The sequence below is a fragment of the Homo sapiens genome, chromosome X (assembly GCF_000001405.40).
Source record: "Homo sapiens chromosome X, GRCh38.p14 Primary Assembly".
Lineage (NCBI taxonomy): Eukaryota > Metazoa > Chordata > Mammalia > Primates > Hominidae > Homo > Homo sapiens.
The window spans coordinates 77,586,689-77,605,940 of NC_000023.11; the positions used below are offsets into that span (position 1 = coordinate 77,586,689).

At 35.3% G+C, this 19,252-nt stretch overlaps 1 protein-coding gene across 10 annotated transcripts in view; it reads right to left on the reverse strand.

The window, feature by feature from the left end:
- The window catches only part of ATRX (ATRX chromatin remodeler), a 281,337-nt gene that overhangs the window by 81,809 nt on the left and 180,276 nt on the right, over nt 1-19,252 (reverse strand). For 9 of the 10 annotated variants that reach the window (XM_005262156.5, XM_005262157.6, XM_006724666.5 and 6 more), the window contains 5 exons: nt 13,746-13,876; nt 13,044-13,132; nt 12,723-12,892; nt 7,008-7,161; nt 3,146-3,252 (listed from right to left, as the gene is read on the reverse strand). In XM_005262156.5, coding sequence (XP_005262213.2) covers nt 3,146-3,252; nt 7,008-7,161; nt 12,723-12,892; nt 13,044-13,132; nt 13,746-13,876 — 651 coding nt within the window. Of the gene's footprint in view, nt 1-3,145; nt 3,253-7,007; nt 7,162-9,023; nt 9,098-12,722; nt 12,893-13,043; nt 13,133-13,745; nt 13,877-19,252 lie in introns of those variants that run through there. The other variant, XM_047442191.1, reaches the window with a different exon arrangement.

A 19,252-nucleotide genomic window follows, 5' to 3' on the forward strand; every position in this document is an offset into this window, starting at 1 on the left:
TTTCTCCTCTTAGGAATCTATCTTAAGCAAAAAAGTTTAAAACGCAGATATAAACTTATGTACAAAAATTTAAAATGTTGAAAAATTAGGCCAGGTGTGGTAGCTCACGCCTGTAATCCCAGTGCTTTAAGAGGCCAAGGCGGGTGGATCACTTGAGGCCAGGAGTTCAAGACCCAGCCAACATGTCAAAACCCCATCTCTACAAAAAATACAAAAATTAGCCAGGCATGGTGGCACACACCTGTAATCCCAGCTACTCAGGAGGCTGAGGCACAAGAATCGCTTGAACCCAGGAGGCAGAGGCTGTAGTGAGCCAAGATTGCTCGACTGCACTTCAGCTTGGGTGACAGAGCAAGACCCTGTCTCTAAAAAAAAAAAAAGTTGAAAAATTAGAGAAAGCAATCAAATGATTAAATAAGTTATGTACAGCCATATGACAGAATATTATACAGCCAATATTATATATGCAAGATATAATAATACTTTCATAATCAGGACAAAAAAAGCCAATTAAAACATTCCATTGCCAACAACAAAAAACACTAGCAAACTAAATCCAGCACCATATAAAAAGAATTATACACCATGACAAGTGGGATTTATCCCAGGTATGCAAGGTTGGTTTAACATGTGAAAATCAAAGTAATACACTATGTTAATAGAATGGGGAAAAAAAAAACATGACATGATCATCTCAATAGCTGCAGAGAAATCAAGATAGTATGTCACACTCTTTCATGACAAACACATTTAACAAACTAGAAAGAGAAGATAATTTCCTCAACTTGATAAATAGTATCCACAAAACTAACATCATACAAAATGTTGAAAAACTGGATTCCTTCACACTATGATTAGAGACAAGACAAGGATGCCAGCTCTTGCCACTTTCACTCAACATTGTACTTGAGGTCTTAACCAGGGCAACTGGATAAGCAAACAAATAAAAGCCATTCAGATTAGAAAGGAAATTATCTGTACTTGCAGATGACATGATCTTGTATATAAAAAATCCTAAAGAATTCACTAAGAACAAATTTCACTCAGCCTCAGAAATAAAATATGTACAAATACATTTAACAAAAGTGTAAAATGTATACTCTGCAAACTATAAAATATTGGTGAAATAAATAAGAGACCTAAATAAACAGCAAAACACCCCATGTTCATGGATAAGACATAATATTAAGATGGCAGTACTTCCTAAAATTAACTATACATTCAACACAATCCCTATTAGCATCTAAGCTGACTTCTTTGTAGAAATTTATAGGAGATTCTAAGGTTGATGTTGAATTCCAAGAGATCTGGAATAGCCACACTTTCCAATTTCAACATCACTTTCAAAGCAATGGTAATGAAATAGTGCAGTATTAGCACAGCGACTGACATATAGATCAATGGAATAGAATTGAGGGTCAGGAAACAAACATGTGTCTCCATCATCAATTCCTTTTTAATAAGAGTGACAAAAACTATTCAATAAAGAAAGAATATTCTTTTCAACAAACAGTCCTGGGACAAATGGATAACCACAGCAAAAGACTGAAGTTGAGCCTTTACCTCATATCATGCATAAAAATTAACTCAAAATGGATCAAAGACCTAAGTGCAAGGACTAAAACTATAAAACTCTTTTAAGCAAACACAGGGGTTAAAGCTTCACGACTTTTTATTTCGAAATGGTTTCTCAGCTATGACAGTAAAAGCACAAGCAACAAAAGAAAAAATAAATTGGATGTCAACAAAATAAAATATTTTTGCGCATCAGAGGACACACTCAAGAAAGCAACAGATGGCCAGGTATGGTGGCTCACACCTTAATCCCAGCACTTTGGGAGGCCAACGAGGGAGGACTGCTTCAGCCCAGGAGTTCAAGACCAGTCTGGGCAAATAGAGGGAGACCTCATCTCTACGAAAAATTAAAAATAAATAAATAAAAGAAAGTGATACAGATCACCGGAACTATTTTTTTTTTAATGAAAGCAAAAGATAACCCACAGAATGAGAGAAAATATTTGCAAATCATATATATGATAGGGGCCTAGTATGTAGAATATATTTTTTAAAACACATTTCAACAACAAAAAGATAAGCAATCCAATTCAAAAATGGGCAAAGGACCTGAATAAACATTTTTTCCAAAGAAGATAAAGAAATAGTCAACAAGTACATTAAAAGATGTTCAACATTATTAGTCATTAGAGAAATGAAAATTAAAATCATAAGATACCACTTCACAACCATTAGGATGGTTATAACAAAAACAAAAATGAAAAATAACAAGTGTTGACAAGAATGTGGAGAAACTGAAATGCTTGTACATTGCTGGTAGGACTGAAATAGTACAGGCAGTGTAGAAAACAGTTTGGTATTGCCGTTTGTTTAAATAAATGAAAACCTGTGTAACAAATGTACACAACAGCACTATTCACAACAGCTGAAAGGTGAGAACAACCCTAATATCTATCAAGACCACATATTACATGTTTCCATTTATGTGACTGGTCCAGAATATATGAATCTATTAGAAACATAAAGGAGATTAGTGGTTGCTTATGTGAGGGAGTTTTGGGCTGGATAGGGGAGTAATAGTTAAAGGGTACAGAGTTTTATTTGGTAGTGATTAAAATGTTCAAAAACTGACTCTAGTGATGTTTGTACATCTCTGTGAATATATTAAAACCATTGAGTTCTACACTTTAAATGGGTGAATTGTACAGGATGTGAATTATCTCTCAATAAAACTGCTTTAGAAACCAAAAAGTTTTAATTTATCCAACAATTTCAACAACAAAGACTGCTGTATTAGGAATTTTTCTTAAGTTGATATTAGCTGCTCTTGTCACCAAAAAAAACTATGTGAGATGATAGATATGTTCATCTGCTTCACTACAGTAGCCATTTTACTATCTATATGTATCCCATAACACCATGTTGTAAACCTCAAATATAAACAATACAATTTTATTTTGAAAAAGACTATACATATATATGGATAAGGACAAATAGACATTGCAAAAAAATTTTGATATGATAGAGTTGTGAGACTGGGTAGTTTTGTTTCTTTTGTTGCTAAAATGTTTGTATGGTATGTTTAAATCAGTATTTTTAAAATTACGACACAGAAATATTTGTAGCTCACCTTTATAAATAAGGGGTTTATCTTTATCTTCTGTCTTCTCCCTACTAGCTAATTCAAGAAAATCTTCAATCAAGTCCAGAGATATGAGGGACTGGCTGAAAACAAGGCTAAAAAAACAGATTAGTGTTTATGGATTAGAAGATTCCTAGTAAAGATATCACTTCTTCCTAAATCGATCTACAAATTTAACACAATTGTAACAAAAATCCCAGCAGGATTTTTTTGTAGAAATTACAAGGTGATTGTAAAATGTATATGAGAATGCCACCTCAGAGGAGGGAAGACAATTCTGAAAAAGAAAAACAAAGTTGGAGGGCTGACTCTTCATGATTTCATTACTTACAAAGTTACAGTAACCAAGACAGTGTAGTAAAGGGACAGGCACAGATCAATAGAACAGAATAGAGTCCAGATAGAGAGCCACATAGGATAATTAATTGTAGGGCCCAGGCATTTCAATGGTAAAAGGATAGTCTTTTAACCAATGGTCTTGGTAGCCGGGCGCAGTGGCTCACGCCTGTAATCCCAGCATTTTGGGAGACCGAGACGGGTGGATCACGAGGTCAGGAGATCGAGACCATCCTGGCTAACACGGTGAAATTCCGTCTCTACTAAAAATACAAAAAAAATAAGCTGGGCACTGTGGTGGGCGCCCGTAGTCCCAGCTACTCGGGAGGCTGAGGTAGGAGAATGGCGTGAACCCAGGAGGCGGAGCTTGCAGTGAGTGGAGATCGCACCACTGCACTCCAGCTTGGGTGACAGAGCGAGACTCTGTCTCAAAAAAAAAAAAAAAAAAACCTACACAATGGTCTTAGCGAAACTGAACATCCACATGACAAAAACAATGGTCTTAGCAAAACTGAACATCCACATGAAAAAAAGTGAACTTCAACCTAAACTGCATACCTTATGCAAAAAATAACTTAAAATGGAGCATAAATCTAACTGTAAAAACTGTAAGAACAGAATGTTTAGAAGAACACAGAAGAAAATCTTCATAACATGGGTTAGGTAAAAAATTATTTACACATGACACAAAGTATCATTGTTTTAAAAGTTGATAAATTAGACTTCATCAAAATTTAAAACTTCTGCTCTATAAAAGACACTGTTTTAGAGAATGTAAAAAGTTTCCCTATTACAAGTATTTCAGTAATTTAAAATTACATGCATTCTATAACACTTTGTCATTACATTTCAAGTATGTCTGCAAATTCCTCATTCTCTGCCCTAGTAATTTTCTAACTCCTTTTTAGCCATGAAAACTATTTGGTCACATCAAGTTTTGTGTAGAGTTCAAATAAAATAAATTATAAAAGCAAGCTGTTTTAGGCATTACGGGAGAAGGAGGAAAAATGTTACTGTTCCCTTACCCTCTCCTTTCGGTCACCAATTTGCAGGGGCTCTGAGAAATAGTTCTAAAATGACTATTCTGGTCTAACCCACTGGACAGAATTTATAACATACTTACACACTAGAAAAGAAATAAAATCTAGAAAGAGAATATAAGAGGTCTTCTATTGCCCTTTATATATGCAAACAAAGTAGATCAGTATATAAGAAACAATATACCTGTGGCAAGTATGCTTTAAGTTTTATTTTTATTCTAAAAGCTATACTATAGGAGAAGAAGGTACTTATGACTCCTGAAGATCCTTCAACATTCCCTGCTACATATCTTCAGATTTAGTAGAACTGAAAACAATTGAAGCTATGAAACGGCTGTTGGAGTTAACCACTTAAGTGTTTTTTATTGTATGACTTCCTGAGCTCCACACTGTTGGAGTCTACTATCTCCCAGTTAACTACTTCTAGAATGTTGGTAAGAAAATGAATTGACTCCTGGTGCTCAGCTCAAATGACCAAGGCCTATGCTTTGACCCCTCAGTAGTTTATCTTTCCCAAAATCAAAAACATAATTGAATCAATTCTTTCTGTGCTACAAATTAAGTTCTTGAAAGTTCCCGTAAGTGAAAAAATTAAAGTCTTAGAAATACTAATTATTAAATTGGAATTAATCTGCAATCTGGGTTACTATACTGGAAAGAGGTTGATTTTAGTCAGTTAGCAATTAAGGCTGGTTCTGGGAACCACTGAACTCAGAGAAGTCTTACAGTAGAAAAGGAAAAAAGTTGTTAGGATTAAATGTCTATACTAATGGTTCTCTCTATTAACCTTTTCCAGTTGCAGACAACATGAAGAACTCTTTTGTTTCAGACCATATTTTGAGATTTTTTTAAACATAAAAGATTATTTTATTTTAGCCTTATTTAAAATTTTTATTAAAAGCATCTCAAGCTAGGCGCGGTGGCTCACACCTGTAATCCCAGCATTTTGGGAGGCTGAGGCGGGTGGATCACCTGAGGTCAGGAGTTCAAGACCAGCTAGGCCAACGTGGTGAAACCCCGTCTCTATTAAAAAAACAAAATTAGCTGGGCGTGGTGGTGTGTGCCTGTAATCCCAGCTACTCAGGAGGCAAGGCTGGAGAATCACTTGAACCCAGGAAGTGGAGGTGATTTTAGTGAGCTGAGATTGCGCCACTGCACTCCAGCCTGGGTGACAAGAGCAAAACTCCGTCTCAAAAAAAAAAAAAAAAAAGCATCTCAGATACTTTTAAAAATCGTTTATAATCAGATGTTGGGACCTAGCAGCCTAGACAGTAAGTCTTGTTCAAAACTTTAAAAATATGTTTTTGGAGGCCGGGCGTGGTGTCTCACGCCTGTAATCCCAGCACTTTGGGAGGCTGAGGCAGGCAGATTACCTGAGGTCAGGAGTTCGAGACCAGCCTGACCAACATGGAGAAACCCCATCTCTACTAAAAATACAAAATTAGCTGGGCGTGGTGGTGCGTGCCTGGAATCCCAGCTACTCAGGAGGCTCAGGCAGGAGAATCACTTGAACCTGGGAGGCGGAGGTTGCGATGAGCCGAGATCGCACCATTGCACTCCCGCCTGGGCAACAACAGCAAAACTCCGTCTCAAAAAAAAAAAAATAATGTTTTTGGAAAAGTAATTTGAAGGGGGGTGAAGATGCAAAGAAAGGAATGGTGGCAAAAATGTTAGAAGTGGAACAAAAAACAAAGAATAAATGATAAAGAAAGAATAATCAGGCCAGGTGTGGTGGCTCACACCTGTAATCCCAGCACTTTGGGAGGCTGAGGCGCACAAATTGCTTGAGCTCAAGAGTTCGAGATCAGCCTGGGCAACACGGTGAAACCCTATCTCTGCTAAAAATAAAAACACTAGCTGGGCATGGTGGTGTGCGCCTGTAGTCCCAGCTACTGGAGAGGCTGAGGTGGGAGGATCACCTGAGCCTGGGAGGTCAAGACTGCAGTAAGCTGTGATTGTGCCACTGCACTCCAGCCTGGGCAACAGAGCAAGACCCTGTCTCATAATGAAAAAAAAAAAAAAAAGAAGAAGAAGAAGAAAGAATAATCAAGCAGGTAAAATAAAATAAAGCCTGAGAGATGTCCACTAGATTTGAGGATTAGAAGGTCACTAGTGACTTTACAGGGGGAAATCTCAGTAAAGCAACACGGTAGAAGTCACACTACATAAACCGAAAAATGATTTTGAAGATGGAGAAACACAAATTTCAACTAAGAGCTCTACCCAAGGAAATAAGTTCAAGTTGCAATAGGTAGAAGCAGAAATTTACACTGAAGAAATAACCTGAATATGCAATCAGAACTAGTGGCTTACAAAAAAGATAGTTGCTTGTATTGGCCTAGCACTACAATGACCAAATAAATCACATCTTTAGGAAGGAAGGAAAAGCAACAGATTTGTTCAAATACATTGTTTAAGCAATAAAAACATAATCAAAAGGTTAATTTATATAATAAATATGGTAAAGCACTTACACTTTATCCCCAATTTCCTCTGCCATTCGAAGAATTTCAAAGAGAAGTACCATTTTCCCAGAATGCTCTAAAACCTCAGCATCAGCATCTGTAACAAAATCTTTGTACCAGTCTGGAGCTGGGCTGCTTGGATTAGAAGAAGAAGTAGCTTTACCTAAATAAGACAAATGGAACATAAGTAGGTAAATTAGAAAAGAAATGGAAAGAGAGCAAGAGAGACAGAAAAAGACCTACCCATGGGGAGAGTAAGAAAGAAACTGATGGGGACTTGGGAGAGGGGAGGGAAAAAAGAGAAAGGCAGGCACACGCACATACAGCACAGAAGGACAGAGACTATCCCAGAAGAGTGAGCTCTAGATAGAAAAAGAGAAAGGAAGGAGATGCCAAATAAGAGAACAAGCAAGAGATTGACTCTGAGAGAGTGCAAGTGTAAGAGACAAACCCTCGGGGTAGGAGTGGAGCTCAGAAAGACAGAGACCCAAAGAGAAGAGAAACCATCCCCTTCCCACCAGGCCCTAAGAGAGTAAAATGCCCCCAAACATACTCCATGAGACAGGAATCAACAGAGATGGAAAGGCTCAGTTACCACGAGAGAAAAGACCTTGGGGGTAGAAAACATTTCACTGTGCTACTAGGATCTGGAAACCGCCAACAAGAATTGACCCCAGAATCAGCATATCATATTAAATGATTTCGTTCTTATATATTTTCCCCACAAACTTTGACTATGAAAGGTGGAAGGAGAAAGTAGCATAAAATAATTTATTAAAAGATTTAAACATAGTTTGATTCAAAATAAGAAATATGCAGGTTTAGCATGTTTATACACTTTCTCAATTGCTTTTTAATGCAAAGTATTTTAAAATATATTTTTGTTACAAAAATTTAAATGCTCAGAAAAGTATATAAGATATAAGAAACAAATGTGCTTCCACATTCCATCTTCATCAAATTTTAACACTGTTAAAACTTCGGATGAAGCTGAAGCCTAATATATGATCCTACATGATCCCATTCTCTTTCCTTCCTTCCTTTCCAATAGGTAACTAAACCCCTAAATTATATATTTACCATTTTTTGCAGTGTTTTATGTTTTTTACTGCATGTGTATCACTAAACTGTACAAATGGCTATACTGTTTGTAAAATCCTACAAATTACTTTTTCACTCAAAGCGAGATTTACTCATGCTTGACATGGAGCTCCCGTTCAATCATTCTAACTACCATGTAGTATTCCACTGCATGAATACACTATCATTTATTAGTTCTCCTCATAGACATCTAGATTGTTTCTTGTTTTTGGCTAATATGAAATAACTGCAACGAATGCTCATTGCTGAGTATATTTTTCTTAAATATTGTGTATTTTAAGTTTTAAATTTTCTGGCATAAAGTTATGATTAGGAATTTTAAAAATATCATTTTAGACATACTTATAGTCTTTATCAAATACTTCTATTATCAGAAGTTCTTGAGAATCTAATCATGCCATTTATTTTGTATGCTAACTTTCCTCAGGTTGACTACTAATACTTTCTGTTCCTAGCTTTTCCTAAGGTTATTTTCTCAGGTGTAGCTACAATCTGTGAAATTTCTGGGTAGCCTTGGTTAAGGTCATATATCTCCAGAGTGATTCTACATTTGCTTCTACCAGGTCTCCAGGGAATCACCAACTCAGAATTACTTGTGAAGTTAATATTTCAGTTTCGGATCTTTTAGACTATATGAGTAATATAAATTCAAACCATAAAGTATGTGAGGTGAAGGCCATGACCGTAAATTCAATGTAACTATTTTTCCCAACCAAGAGCCCTGGCTGAAATAGATAAGCTTCCTTGTCAACTCCCTGGATTGTCGATGGGATTGTAAACTTTAAAGGGATTCAGCTTTGAGAAGGGGTCACAGAACTCTCCAACTTATAGAGGGCTCGAAGTCTCAAATCCTGTCCCTGGATAAATGAAAATCAAAGCTGCTAGTCTCAAGACTAGCATCTCCCTAGGATTTCCATAGCATACCTTCTTCAATTTACCATTTAGGCTTATCAGTTCCCTCCTTATGTCTGGGCATATAGTAAGCACTTTATAAATATCTGTTGAGTGAATAAATATGGTATATTAGTACTAATATTACGGCTCTACATCATATACAAGGATTCTGTCACAAAACTTTATATCCATACAATTACATACGTTTTAAAATGCAAATGCTTACCAATGAAGCTTACTCTAAAAATACTTAAGTAATAATAAATCTAACACTTTGAAGTAATTTACATAGTCATTTCGTGATCATGAACTCTCCTTCTAATAAAAAACATTTAAAACACAGAAATGGGGATGATGTAAGCTAAACTTAAATGACTCATTCAAGATGCTGCTTCTCAGAAAAACGAGACAGCTACTACAAAAGGATTAAAGCAAACAGTAACTCTTTGACGTGAAAATAAAATATGTGGCAAAAATCATATTGTAGCTCAATTATAGGTAATTAATTATTTAATATCCATTTCAAATTCCAGGTACAACATTGTTAACCCTTTAATACTTCCTTCAGATTATGAGACCGATGTGCTGCCTACTGCGCTAAGGAGGCAGACTAGCCCCTTAATACTTCCTATTCAGATTTTCTTATATTTACTGTAAGAAAGTCATTTTTTTTAAAGTTATACAATACCAGCTACGTATGTCCATACATTATGATATACTCCATTTTATATGGAGTTAATTTAGATGCAAAGAAAAAAATAAATTTTTATTATCTATTAGTTCTGGAGAATGCTTCTAATATACTATACACGTATATAAGCTACAAAAATATATAAAATATATCCATATACAAATGACTTATATTTGACTGCACACAACTAAAATGAAACAAAAATCCTAGACAAGTGGTCAAAATTTGTCTTTTGGAACTGATGGCCTTCCCTGTGTGTTTTTGGGCTCACAACATGTAGCCTCCTACATTCTGCCCCCAGTGCTTTCCAACCCATTCACATTATGGCATATGTAAAAAACGTTAATGCTTATATAGCATACCAGGAAAAAGAGAAGAGACTACTCATTTACGGAGGCAAACCAGCTGCCTCAGATTCTAATTGTATTCCCAAGTGACAAAGGATCAATATCTCAGTACACTTTAAAAAAAAAATCTCAGTATACTCTTACGTAACCCATTTATAGCACAGGATGATGCACACTGACTGGTCTACTCTTCTGCTCCTGTTAGCCATAAGTTATGAGAAAAAATTCAACAAGAGTATTTTAAGAAAATAATTTCCAGGAACATGTAAACTTTATATATTTTTAATTATGAGATGAGAGACTGAGGAATTTATGTGGAAAAGGCAGATTGGGGCAGCAGCAGCAGGGAAGGAGATACAGGAACTTCTCATTGCCTTAAATTACACTATAATAATTTATTATTCTGATAAAAATATTCTTTATATCTATCCAGAAGATGAACATTGATAGTAAACTGTTTTATGGGGTAACAGAAGAGAAGAATGAGAAGAGAAATTTTGTAGTTTAATTTTTACTATTCCCCTGATTTCTTAAGAGAAGTCAGAGTCTACTGTTAGACTGCCATCTGTCTATTCCATGGAGGTACTGAAGAGAGAAATGTTTATAAAGAAATCACCGAGTCAGAAAGAATTTATGACTAATTCCTCAAAAACAATTGCAACAGAAACAAAAATTGACAACTGGGACCTAATTAAACTAAAGAGCTTCTGCACAGCAAAAACAAAAAACAAACAAACAAACAAAAAAACAAAAACACAAAATAACAAAAAAAAAACTATCAACAGAGTAAACAGACAACTTACAGAATGAGAGAAAATACTCACAAACTATGTATCCAACAATGAATATCCAGAATCTATAAGGAACTTAATTCAACAGCAAAAAAACAAGTAACTCCATTAAAAAGTGGGCAAAAGACAAGAACAGATACTTCTCAAAAGAGAACATACAAGCAGCCAACAAACATGAAAAATGCTCATCATCATTAACCACAGGAGAAATGCAAATCCAAACCACAATGAGACACAATCTCACACCAGTCAGAATGGCTATTATTAAAAAGTCAAAAAACAGCAGATGCTGGAGAAGGGGCAAAGAAAAGGGAACATTTATGTTGGTGGGATTGTAAATTAGTTCACCGCCTATGGAAGGCAGTTTAGAGATTTCTCAAAGAACTTAAAGCAGAACTGCAATTTGACCCAGCAATCTCATTACAAGTATAAAACAAAAGGAAAATAAATCTGCCAGAAAGACACATGCACTCATATATTTATTACAGCACTATTCACAACAGCAAAAACATGGAATCAACCCAGGTGCCCATCAACAGTGGATTGGATAGAGAAAATGTGGTACATATAAACCATAGAATATACACAGCCACAATAAAGAACAAAATCATGTCCTTTGCAGCAACAGGGATACAGCTGGAGGCCATTATATACTAAGTGAATTAACACAGAAACAGAAAACCAAATACGGCGTGTTCTTACATATAAGTAAGAGCTAAACACTGGGTACACATGGATATAAAGAGGAGAGCGACAGACACGGAGGACTACTAGAGTGGGGAGAGAGAAAGGGGGCAAAGACTGAAAAACTAACTACTGAGTACTATGTTCAGTACCTGGGGATGGGATCAATCATACCCCAAAGCTGAGCATCATGCAATATACCCATGTTAATCAACTAGCATATGTACCCCCGAATATAAAAGTTGAAATTATAAAAATAAAATTAAAATAATTAATCACCAAGTTATTTCAGCTGTAGGCCTGAGACCAGCCAAGTTTATCTGATCACAGGATCACTAACCTAGGTGGCCCCCACAACTCTCTTCTCCTTATAGACAGTTAACTGCTTTGCTCCACAACTCCCAAATGCCAAATATTTAGAGCCACTACCTTGTTCTCTCTTCATAATCTGCTATTTCAAATAGGCAGACATTTGGTCCCAGTTTTTAAGCTCCTAGGCATACAGGCTGCACTAGTAGGATACAGTGTCTCAACACTAATCCTTCAACTTACATATAGGTAAAGACAACTTAAACCACTGCAGAGTTCAATCTAAGACTTCACTTTCATGCACAAGAGAGACAGAAAGAAAACAAAAGAGGTGATAGAAACTGTACATAATACACAGGAAACCTAAAGTAGATAATTGCAGATTATGAAGAATCACAAAGGAAAAACACTAAATGATTAAAATTAGTTTTACTGTATATTACTGACTAAAAATTAACTACAATCACACTTGATTATCTGAAATGTTTCCATTTATTCCCATACAGTTAAGTGAAAATATCATGGTGGCTTTGAGATTAGACATTTTTAGGTCTGAATACCAGTTCTCCTACTCATTTTTAAAACTATCAACTACATTGCAAGCCTGCTCAAGAATTCAGTTAGCTAACACATGTAGTGAAAATAATAGAGTTTAGGTATATACAAGTAAATAAACATTAGTTTTTCTTTTTACCTTTCCCCCAAATACCAGAGAGCACAGAGTAGCTTGCTTATAATTAAAGATTCATCAGATATTTACTGTAATTATGAGTACTTGATTAGACTCATCAATTGAGGAAAGATTCCTTTGAGTCAATTAGTCAGGTAAGTGACTGAAAAAAGGACTAACGACATGACATTTTCCAAATTACTGTTCCATGATAAAGGCAACATTCATTAGACTCACTTTCTTCCAGTTTTAAAGAAACAGAAGGATTGTTTCCTGTTTCATCCACATTTCCTTCACCACCTCCCCGAGATCTTGAATTCCAGACCTTAATCACTTCAACATCATTGTCACTGCCACTTCCACTTGAGCTACTATCTTTTTTCCCCTTTTTCCCTTTTTTCTTCTTTCTAAAAACAAACAAACAAACAAACAAAAAAACACATTCAGATTGTTAGAAAAGCATAGGAAAGATGTAAACGTCAATTATAAGAGGTCAATCAGCAAGTAGGGGTTTTAACTTTGTCAATACAGGATGGCACGAAAAAGTATTCGATTTACTTTGTATAATCATCGGAGCTTAAACTCATGGAGGTTTCATCAGAATCTGAGGCTATAAATTCATCCATACTGTCTTCATCAAAATAACCCTAGAGAAAAAAAAATGACCACTATTTTAATAGAATATCTCAACTTACACTGGAAATTATATTGATGTTCATTTAAGAATAAGTTAATTGGCACGAGCTGAGGAAGGACTGAGGAACTATTACAGATTTTAGTAGACAAAGAAGACAGGACAGATATGCTTACTAAATGCAATGGGAGGTCCTAGATTGGATCATGGAAAACAAAAAAGACATAAGTAAAAACATTGAAGAAATCCAAATAAAGTCTGCCATTTAGTTAATAGTATTGTACCAAAGTTAATTTCTTAGTTTTGATAACTTTACTATACTAATGCAACATGCTGATATTAGAAGAAACTGGGTCAAAGGTATAGGGGAATTCTCAGAACTATTTTTGCAACTTTTCTATAAGTATAAAATTATTTCAAAATAAAAAGTTTTTTAAAATGGGCTCAATAAAATAACATTTAACACTCCTATAATCATAATACATGCAAGACATATAGAAATTAGAAATAAGACATAGAATAGAACAAAGCAATAGAAAATTTGAATATACAGTCTGTAGGTCAATTTTTTGTCTAAGTTTATTCTGCTTCCAATAGATGCTTTTAAACTAAGTTACCTGACTTACCTTATTTTCTTTGCTAATGTAGTCTAGCTGCAAACACCAAGGATGAGTCCATATTCTACTTAACATCTGAAAATCTTGGAAAAGCTTTGCACCTGCCTTTCCTCTTCCACCTTCACTATTATTGCCCACACCTGATCAAAAGAAATATGGTTAAAGACACAAAAATTGTCTATATCAACCAAGTTTCTAGATTAGGAGTTTTAATCTTACTTGTGACATAAACACTTTTGGCAGTGTAGAGAAGCTTATAAATTCTCTTGGAATATCGTTTTGAAACACATAAAACAAATAGGATTACAAAAGAAACCCATCATATAGAAATTATCAAAATATTAAAGAATTTGTACTACAGAAATATGTGCTTTTTAAAATTAATGCATTAAGTAACAAAATATGCACAGGTTTAATAAATACCTAAAATTCTGAAGTATTGATAAACATAAATGATTTTGAGGTATCAGGAACAACATGTAAAAATATTTCTGATTTCTATTGGTAACAAAGTCATGGTTATCACTAACACTACTATAGATTGTTGCCTCTATTCATCACTGGGAAAAATGCTGCTGCTTTAGCTAGAGGTTAAGGGAAATCAATATATAATTTTTTTCTTATCCAGGTACATATAATCCCCTAAATTCTATCCATGGACCCTAGATTACAAACTCCTGTTATAAATAAACTTTGCTCCATGCAGATAGTCCTTTACTGACTCTCGCCAACTATGCTCACTCAAAAAAATTACTTCTAGGCAAGTGACAGTAGCTCACACCTGTAATCACAGCACTTTGGGAGGCCGAGGCAGGAGGACCGCTTGAGGCCAGGAGTTCAAGACAGGCCTGGACAACACAGCGAGACTCTGTCTCCACCAAGAAAAACAAAAACATTAGCCAGGTATGATGGCACACACCTATAGCCCTAGATACCCTAGATACTTGGGAGGCTGAAGTGGGAGAATCACTTGAGCCCAGGAGTTTGAGGTTACAATGAACTATGATTGCACCACAGCACTCCCGCCTGGATGAAAGAGCAAAACCTTGTCTCTTAAAAAAAAAAAAAAAAGACCTTCCAAAAATTATGTTTTTGATGTATAAAATGTAAATATTAGCTCTGCTCTATCCAGAATAATTTCAACAGAATTATCATTTTCCTATAAAACATAAAGAAAATGAATGCACGTTTCATTAATATAATAAAATTATCAAGAAGGTAATATGCAAAAGAACAAAACTGATTAAAAGGAAAAAACAGCATTTAAGCAATAACATATTTTCCTATCCACGGTTTTAAACTATGTAAGTTGTTTAAATAATTAGCAAATTTTGCCTCCACGAGTGAGAGAAAATTTAGTAGTGATATGAAACATTAATAATGCATAAAAATCTGCTGAGTATTATTTTGCCTGATAGAGGTTATTTCCATTGTGTAACAGAAATCACTGCTATGAAAATGAGGTATATAATTTCTCGGCATACAGCTGTTCACAATATTCACTTATAATTCTTTTTATTTCTGTAAGGTTAGTAGTGATACTCTTTCATTCCTTACTTTAGGTCATTTTTCTTTCTGTTCTTGTTTTTGTTTTTTTGATACAGGGTCTTACACTGTCACCCAGGCTGGAGTGCAGTGATGCAATCATAGCTTACTGCAACCTCGAACTCCTGCGGGCTCAAGCCATCTGCCTGCCTCAGCCTCCCAAAAGCTGGTACTACAGGCACATGCCACCAGGTTTGGCTAATTCTTTTTTTTATTTTTTGTAGAGACAGGGTCTCGCTTTGTTGACCAGGCTGTTCTTAAACTCCTAGCTTTAAAGGATTGTTCTGCCTTGGCCTCCCGAAAGGCTGGGATTAATAGGCATGACCCACTGTAGTCGGCACTTATTTTAGCTGTGCCTTTTTTTTTCATTACTTTGTAAGTGAAGGAAGGTTTGTCGATTATGTTAATCTTTTCAAAGAACCTACCTTTGGTTTCAATGATTTTCCCTACTGTTTTTCTGTTCCTCACATTTCTTTATTATTTCCTTCCTTCTGCTTGTTTTGGGTTTAATTTGCAAAGTAGAAGGTTGAATTATAAATTTGAGATCTTTCTTCTTTTTTAATACAGGTATTTACCACCATACATTTCTCTCTAAGTATTACTTAAGTTATATCCCATATTCTAGTACCCTGTGTTTTTGTTTTCATTAACCTCTAAGCATTTTTTAATTTCCCTTGTGATTTCTTCTTTGGTCCATTGGTTATTTAGATATATGTTGTTTAATTTACATGTATTTGTAAATTTTTAAACTTTCCTTCAGTTATTGGTTTCTAATTTCATTTGAATGTGGTTAAAGAAAATACTTTAGTAAGAAGAGGAATGTTTTAATGATAAATGCCTATGTCAAAAAAAGATCTCAAATAAGGAACCTATCTTTATACCTCTAGGAGCTAGAAAAAGAATAAGCTAAACCCAAAGCTTGCAGAAGGAAGGAAATAAGGATCAAAGCATTAGTAAATCAAATAATAGATAAGATATAGGGGGAAAAGTTGTTTTTTTGAAAAAAATAAGCCAAGCCAACAAACCCTTAGCCTATTAAGAAAAAAGAGAGAGGACTCAAATAAATAAAATAGACATGAAGACATTACAACCAATGCCTCAGAAATAAAGAAGGATCATAAAGAACTAGTATGAAAAATTATATACCAAGAAATTGAATAATCTACAGGAAATAAATTCCTACAAACATACAATATATCAACACTGAATAAAAAAGAAATAGCCTCAACAGACCAATTACAAATAAAGAGACCAAGGCTACTTGGGCTCTTATTTGGTTCCATATGACTTTTAGGATTGTTTTTTCTAATTCTATAAAAAATGACATTGGTATTTTGATAGAGTTAGGTTTGAATCTGTAGATTGCTTTGGGTAGTATGGTCATTTTAATAATATAATTCTTTTTTTTTTTCCTAGATGGAGTTTCGCTCTTGTTGCCTAGGCTGGAGTACAGTGGCGCAATCTCGGCTCACTGCAATCTCCGCCTCCCGGGTTCAAGCCATTCTCCTGCCTCAGCCTCCCGAGTAGCTGAGACTACAGGTGCCTGCCACCATGCTCGGCTAATTTTTTTTTTTTTTTGTATTTTTAGTAGGGACAGGGTTTTGCCATGTTGGCCAGGTTGGTCTTGAACTCCTGGCCTCAAGTGATCCGCCTGCCTCGGCCTCCCAAAGTACTAGGATTACAGATGTGAGCTACCGTGCCTGGCCAATAATATTAATTCTTGAACAAAGCTGAAGGTATCACATTACTTGACTTCATATTACCCTACAAGGCTACAGTAACCAAAACAGCATGGTACTGGTATAAAAATAGACACAAAGATCAATGGAACAGAATACAGAACACAGAAATAGAGACACATACTGACAGTCAACTGACCTTTGACAAAGTCAATAAAAACATATACTGGGGAAAGGACACTCTTTTCAATAAATGGTTCTAAGAAAACTGGATTCCCATATGCAGAAGAATGAAACTGGACCATTATCTCTAACCATATGCAAAAATCAACTCAAGATAGATTAAAGACTTAAATGTAAGAGCTGAAACAATAAAAATACTAGAAGTAAACCTAGAGAAGTAACCTAGAGAAAGTAAACCTGGAGAAAATCATTCTGGACATTGGCCTAGGCAAATAATTCATCACTACGACCTCAAAAGCAAAGCAACTAAAACAAAAACAGACAAATGGGACTTAAATAAAAAGCAGCAAAAGAAATAATTAACTGAGTGAACAAACAATCTGCAGAATGGGAGAAAATATTTCCAAACTAGACATCCAACAGGGGACTGATATCTAGAATTTACAAGGAACTCAAACAACAACACAAAACAAAACAAATAATTCCATTAAAAAGTGGGCAAAAGACATAAATAGACATTTTTCAAAAGAAGATATAACAAATGGCCAACAAGCATATGAAAAAATTCTCAACATCACTAAACGTCAGAAAAATGCAAATCAAAACCACAATGACATATCTTCCCCAGTTAGAATGGCTATTATTAAAAAGTCAAAAAATAAATGTTGGCAAAGATGCGGAGGAAAGAGAATATGTTTACACTATTGGTGGGAATGTAAATTAGCACAAACTCCATGAAAAACAGTACAGAGATTACTCAAAGAACTAAAAATAGAACTAACATTTGATCCAGCAATCCCACTACTAGGTATCTACCAAAAGAGAAAGAAATCATTATATCAAAAACATAAAAAAAAAGATACTTGCACTTACATGTTTATTGTAGCACTATTCACAATAGCAAAGCTATGAAATCAACCTAAGTGTCTATCAAAAGATGAACAAAGAACACGTGGTATATATACACAGTGGAATACTATTTGGCCACAAAAAAGAACAAAAGCATGTCTTCTGCAGTAACATGGATGGAACTGGAGGCCATTATCTTAAGTGAAACAATTGAGACACAGAAAGATAAATAGTGTCATGTTCTCCCTTATAAGTGGGGCTAAATAATGTGAACACATGGATGTAGAGTGTGGAATGACAGACAATGGAGACTTGGAAGGGTCGGGGGAAACGAGAAGAGTGAATGAGAAACTACTTAATGGGTAGAATGTACATTATTCTGTGTATACACTAAAAGCCCTGACTTCACCACTATAATATATCCATGTAACAAAATTACACATGTACCCCATAAATTTATACGAATAAAATTAAGATGGCTCACGTCTGTAATCCCAGAACTTTGGGAGGCCAAGGCAGGTGGATCACCTGAGGTCAGGAGTTCGAGAACAGCCTGGCCAACATGGCGAAACCCTGTCTCTACTAAAAATACAAAAAATTAGCCAAGCATGGTGGTGGGCGCCTGTAATCCCAGCTACTTGGGAGGCTGAGGCAGGAGAACTGCTTGAACCTGGGAGGCAGAGGTTGCAGTGAGCTGAGATCGCACCACTGCACTCCAGCCTGGGTGATGGAGCAATACTCTGTCTCAAATAAAACAAAACAAAATAATTAAATTAAAAATAGAATTAAGAAAAAGAAATAAGTAGTAATAAAAAAAAACCTCCCAACAAAAATCACCCAGAACCAGATAGCTTCAAAACTGAATTCTACCAAACATTCAAAAAACCATGAATACCAATTCTTAAACTCTTCCAAAAAACAGAATTACAGGAAATACTTCCAAACTCTTTTTGTGAGGTAAGCATCACCCTGATACCAAAGGCAGACAAAGATGCTGAAAGAAAAGAAAACCATAGGCCAATATCACTGATGAACATAGATATTAAAACCCTCAATAAAATACTAACCTAATTCAACAACACATCAAAAAGTTTAAAAGTAGAAAAGTAGAAAAGATCAATGAAACAAACACTTGGTTTTTTGAAAAGATAAACTCAACAAACTTTTAGTCAGACTACTTATGAAAAAAAAGAGAGAATACCCAAATAAATGAAATCAGAAATGGAAAAGGAGACATTAAAACTGATACCACAGAAATTT